Genomic DNA, 6,130 nt, shown 5'->3' on the forward strand with positions numbered 1-6,130 from the left:
CACATATACACCATGGAATACTAGGCAGCCATAAAAAGGAATGAGATCATGTCCTCTGCAGGGACATGGATGAAACTGGAAGCCATCATTCTCAGCAAACTAACACAGGGACAGAAAAACCAAACACCACATGTTCTCACTGGTAAGTGGGAGATGAACGATGAGAACACATGGACACAGGGAGGGGAACATCACATATCGGGGCCTGTTGGTGGGGCAGGGGGATGGAGAGCATCAGGACTAATAGCTAATGCATGTGTGGCTTACTACCTAGGTGATGGGTTGATAGGTGCAGCAAACCACCATGGCACACGTTTACCTATGTAATGAACCTGCACATTCTGCACGTGTATCCCGGAACTTAAAATTAGAAAAAGAAGGTGCTAGAATCAAGTAAAGCTGGTGTTGAATCCCAGCTCCAACACTTATCTGTCATGTATTTGTGGATATCTCTTGTGTTGTGTAACCTGACCTCTTGGTAAGACAAAGCCAAGTTTATTGCTTACCACAGTGAAGAAGACTACCGCCACAGAGTTCAGATAGGGTCTTAGAGGGAAGAGGCAAAGTTGGTTCTTATTGAGAATTTGAAGTTTGACTTCAAGCAGGTTTTTCAAAGTTGATTTAGATTGCGTAAGGATCATAATACAACAGTCTAGGGATTGTAGAAAGAGAGAGATGAGAATTTTAAGACCAAGGATTCCAAGAATTTTAGAACACAAATGTAACTCTAATAGGCCCTTTGCCTCATGCTCAGAGCAAATCAATATGCCAAGACACCAGGTTGCAGCAAAGAAAGAAATTTAATCATAGCATCACCAAATGAGGAGATGGGAGGAAATCTCAAATCCATCTCTCCAAGGAGCTTGGGGCTATAGTTTTTAAAGGGTTTCGGAGTGGGCTGAGGTGTGGAGATTGTTGACAAGTTGGAGAGTGCAGGGTGAAGAAGTCATGGGGGATAGGATGTAATAGTCTAGAACTGGTGGAAACAGCCAGCACGGGGTTGGAAGTGAAGAGTTTGAATGTTAATGTGAAGAAGCTGTGTTCTCAGGCTGATCCCATTCCTCTGTGGGGGTGTTCAAACTGGTAGCTGGAATGTAGGGTCTGAAAAACATCTTATGCAATCCTTAAGCAAAAGCTTTATGATTCTAAAGTCAGAGGTCCTCTATCCCCCGAACAAGGGGGATACAAATAGTCAGGATCTGGTGCTACCTGACTTTTAGCAACAAGGAAGTGGGCTATAGCACAGCCTGACGAATGCTTAATTATAACTATGTTTCTGTCCAGAACCCGGAATGCAATTCTTGTCAACCCTGTGGGGGCAGTTTCACAAACTGTCTGTCAATACTTTTTCATTGAAGAGTTGATAGGTCTTTTGGTAAATTCCTGTAATGAACACACTAACCATCTGCCTTGCAAGAGACTCTCTGGAAAAGCCAAGTATGCTAATGAAGACAGTGGAATAGCAAAGTCATACTAATGCAGACAGGCACGTGTGATTTCCGTTTCTCAGCATCTGAGCTGAGTGTGGTAGCAAAGGCCACAGTGAGCCTGTTTTCTCAACTGTGCCATGTTCTTGGAAGAACGAAAGGAATCAATAAATCAAGGGGCTAGCACATGATGGGTACATCACAAGTAGCAACTATGTTTGTTTTTGTTTTTGTTTTTGTTTTGAGACGGAGTCTTGCTCTGTCACCCAGGCTGGAGTGCAGTGGCGTGATCTCGGCTCACTGCAAGCTCTACCTCCCGGGGTCACGCCATTCACCTGCCTCAGCCTCCTGAGTAGCTGGGACGACAAGCACCCACCACCACACCTGGCTAATTGTTTTTTGTATTTTTAGTAGAGATGGGGTTTCATTGTGTTAGCCAGGCTGGTATCGATCTCATGACTTCGTGATCCGCCCGCCTCGGCCTCCCAAAGTGCTGGGATTACAGACGTAAGCCACTGCGCCCGACCACAACTATAATTATTTTAATAGTGTATTTCAGGATGAAGTAGTGTTAAAATAGTGCCGGGGGGGTGAGGCGATGGAGAGACTGTGTATGTATGGGCTGGCAGGTCAGATCATTCCATGGTCCTGAGAGAATATTCACCGGAATCCCTGGCATCTCCTTTAGTGCTATTCCCTGAGGCAACTTGAGACTCCAAACCATATTTCTCTACCCAGTTTGGGCACTGATGACCAAAACTACCTGCCCATCCACCCAGTTTACTGTCTATGTAAACATGACCTTGCAATTCCACTGTCTTCATAAGCATAATTTTACTATTCCTAGAAACTCTTGCCCAGGCAAATAACGTGATTGTTCATTAGCTGAACTTTCTGAAACATCCATCAACCCTTCAATAGGAAGCAGCAACCTGCCTTTTATATCCTGAGACTCTTCATGCTACAGCTGAGTTGGCTTTTCCCAAAAGATGGAATTCTTTCCTGTCTGGTGCCACAGAGTTGATCCATAGAACCAAAAGTGAGCATCAGGCCATGGAGACTTCATTCAATGGCCAAGGAATGGAGAAGCAGGAGCACGGCTCATATCAACTTCCCGTTCTGTGAGAGGCAAGGGGTTAAAATACACAGTTTTCCAGAAATACCATTTGACCCAGCAATCCAATTACTGAGTATATACACAAAGGACTATAAATCATTCTACTATAAAGACACATGCACACGTATGTTTATTGCAGCACTATTTACAATAGCAAAGACTTAGAACCAACCCAAATACCCATCAATGATAGACCGGATAAAGAAAATGTGGTACATATACACCATGGAATACTATGCAGCCATAAAAAAGAATGAGTTCATGTCCTTTGCAGGGACATGGATGAAGCTGGAAACCATCATTCTCAGCAAACTAACACAGGAACAGGGAAACAAACACCGCATGTTCTCACTCATAAGTGGCAGTTGAACAATGAGAACACATGGACACAGGGAGGGGAACATCACACACCAGGGCCTGTCGGGGGGTCAGGGGAAAGGGGAAGGAGAGCATTAGGACAAATACTTAATGCATGTGGGCTTAAAACCTAGATGACGGGTTGATACGTGCAGCAAACCACCATAGCACATGTATACCTATGTTACAAACCTGCACATTCAGTACATGTATCTGGAACTTAAAGTAAAATTTAAAAAAAAAGAAATGCTAAAAAATACAAGGAAAATATGTACAGTTTTCTCTAATGAAGGGGTTGGGCATTAAAAATGAGAGGAGAAATATTTGTGTCCTTTCTGGGAATGGGCAGTGAACTTCTCAGAACCAGAGTACCGCATTCTTTTTGTCCCTTTATGGTTTCTTCCTGTTACTGTCATGGTGATTGTCAACTGTCATGGCACTGGTGGGAATGTCATTTAGCATGGAAATTAGATTATAATGAAGTCCGAGGTCTATTTGAGGTTGTTCAGTCAGCCACCTTGGTTCTAAATGGCTTTAGCTGATTCTTTCTCTGAGGAGGAACTTCTGTCCATAGGCCTTCCTGTTCCAGAGTTAGGGAGATGTAGACATTCAGCTATGTCACGTAGGCATTACACTGGGAGACATTGGGCAACATTCAGATTCTTCACTTCAAAACCTCTGGGGGCTATTTCCACCAATTCTAGACTATTGTATCCTGATCCTTACTCAATTCTAATCTAGCCCCTGCTTTGAAAGACCTACCTTAAACCGCACCTGAAACCTCAATAAGACCTAACTTTGCCTTTCCTGCTCCAGGGCACAACCAGAGCTCCCTTATCGGTGTCCTTCCTTACTGTGATAAACACAAAACACAGCTTTGTCTTTTCAACAGGCTGTATTGGTGACTGTGGGGGAACAAGCATTTGCAGGCTACAGAATTATACTGCACGATGCTGTCACTCCTAAATTCTAATAGGTAACATTTGGAAGTCTGGGGTATTTTGTTTGGAATCAATTTATAAACTCTAAGAAAACAGTTACACACTTCTCCCACCCACAAGGGGTTTAAACCCCCCAAACTATGCCTCTTCATTTATTCAAGTTCAAAAAATCATTTCCTTATCACTCTAGTTTGTCCTGAGTTTTGTCTTCTGGCTTCCTCATTATTTTGGCTTGGATCTTTTTGCTTCTTATAATGAACACTTTGCTGTTGTTCCTTTCTCAAACATTTTAATGCTCAGTCTGGAAGTGGGCTGACCAAAGATGAGTACAGCACGGCCATTTGCCATTAAGGAGTTCTTAATATAACATGTGAAGGAAAATAAATGTTTCCACACTGTTATAAACTTCTTGAAAATAGGCATCATGCCTTTATAATGTTCTGTGCCATGGAACCAAATGCATGGCTTGAGCTCAAGGAGTAGCTGTCGATTAGAATGGGCTCCCCTCACCCCCACCAACCCCCCTCTCTTGCAGGCAGAGGATGGAGCGGCAGCTTAGAAGATGCTGTGTTTCCAAGGACACAGTAGAGCTGTATCTGCTTGACATTTAAACAATTTAGTCAAATTCAATCTAAAATCAAGTCAGTCCAGATGTATTTAATTGGGAGACAATGCCTAAGCCTTCTACCAATATGGCTTTTGGGAAACATGCCTTGAAGACTTGCTTTTCTGCCTTCAGTTTTCTGAAACAGTAGAAGGGTAGGGTGGGAGGGAATCATTAACATTAGCATTGCACACAGGAGGCTTAGGTTTTCCTGCTCAGAAACAGACCTTACTATGGATCTTGGGAATTTCAGCAGGAGTGAAATTGACTGCCCATTATCCTCATTCACAAGAGATTTCTGTCATTGCCCATCCTTCCTGAAAGTCACATTTTTGACTTGGCTGTGGTGTGAGCAGGATGGAGTCATTCTCTTCTTTAGAATCTCAAATGTCCTAGGAAAAGAAAAGAACTATTGTGTCAGGCACACACACCTTGGCACTATCTAGTCTCTGTTTATTTCTGCCTATTTGTTTCTCATGCTTTCTCTTTCTGTTTCTTTTTCTTTTTTCTTGTTAGTTCCCTTGGTATTATTCCAGCTCTTAATAGCCTCCCTTCTGATGTTTTCTCAAACAAAGCGTCCTTTGTGTCAACTGTCAAATACGTTGGACTTTGCCATGTCATCTCCTCTTACTTTGTGTTTTTTGGACAAATATGAAAAGGCCGTTTGAATTTTTAAAAATTCTCTTCATTATCTTAAAACAGCAATTAAGACACCAACCAGAACTCTCTTGTGCTCTACTGGAAACAAACCCATCATATTCAGCCTTCCCTATAATTGAATTATTGAAGCTTGATGTCATTTTGGTTTCTGTGCAGTACAACCCCTTAAGAGCAATTTCATCCTTTCTCAGGCCTGATAACCAGTCCTAGTGCCAATTCTCTAAGGTACCTGAGATCGAATCTCACAAGGCCATAATTTCATTTTCTTTATCTGTGTTATATCATTTCTTGCTACATAACTACCCTTAACATTGTTTGTATTGTCTTTATTATATCTGTGAATGAAGTTACTAAAACTTTTGCCATTTACAATACCTGGAAGAGGCCGGGCGCAGTGGCTCATGTCTGTAATCCCAGCACTTTGGGAGGCCAAGGCAGGTGGATCACGAGGTCAGGAGTTCGAGACCATCCTGGCTAACACGGTGAAACCCCGTCCCTACTAAAAATACAAAAAATTAGCCGGGCGTGGTGGCGGGTGCCTGTAGTCCCAGCTACTCGGGAAGTTGAGGCAGGAGAATGGCGTAAACCCGGGAGGCAGAGCTTGCAGTGACCCGAGATCACGCCACTGCACTCCAGCCTGGGCAACAGAGTGAGACTCCATCTCAAAATAAATAAATAAATAAATAAATACCTGGAAGATTTAAAAATCATTTGGGTAAAATAATTTCAGTGGAGTGGGCTTGACTCTTCCAAATAATATAATCTAATCATGCCATGCCAAAGCATAATATCAATTTCTTTATATTTTTCTTATTAATCAGCTTAATTCTTATGATCAATTTTATTAATTGCTTTATATCATCCTGCTAAATCTAGGACCGTTGTCAACTGTGTTCTTTGCATGTTTTCTGTTGTAATCCCTTGTAATATCTTTCCGAGTTGAAAAATCAGTCTTTGTTTTCTTCTAGGTAACCAATTTTCATTACAATGGCAAAATAATAATTATTTAAATTGTACTGTGCCT

This window comes from Homo sapiens, chromosome 10 (assembly GCF_000001405.40).
Source record: "Homo sapiens chromosome 10, GRCh38.p14 Primary Assembly".
In the NCBI taxonomy this organism is placed as follows: Eukaryota; Metazoa; Chordata; class Mammalia; order Primates; family Hominidae; genus Homo; species Homo sapiens.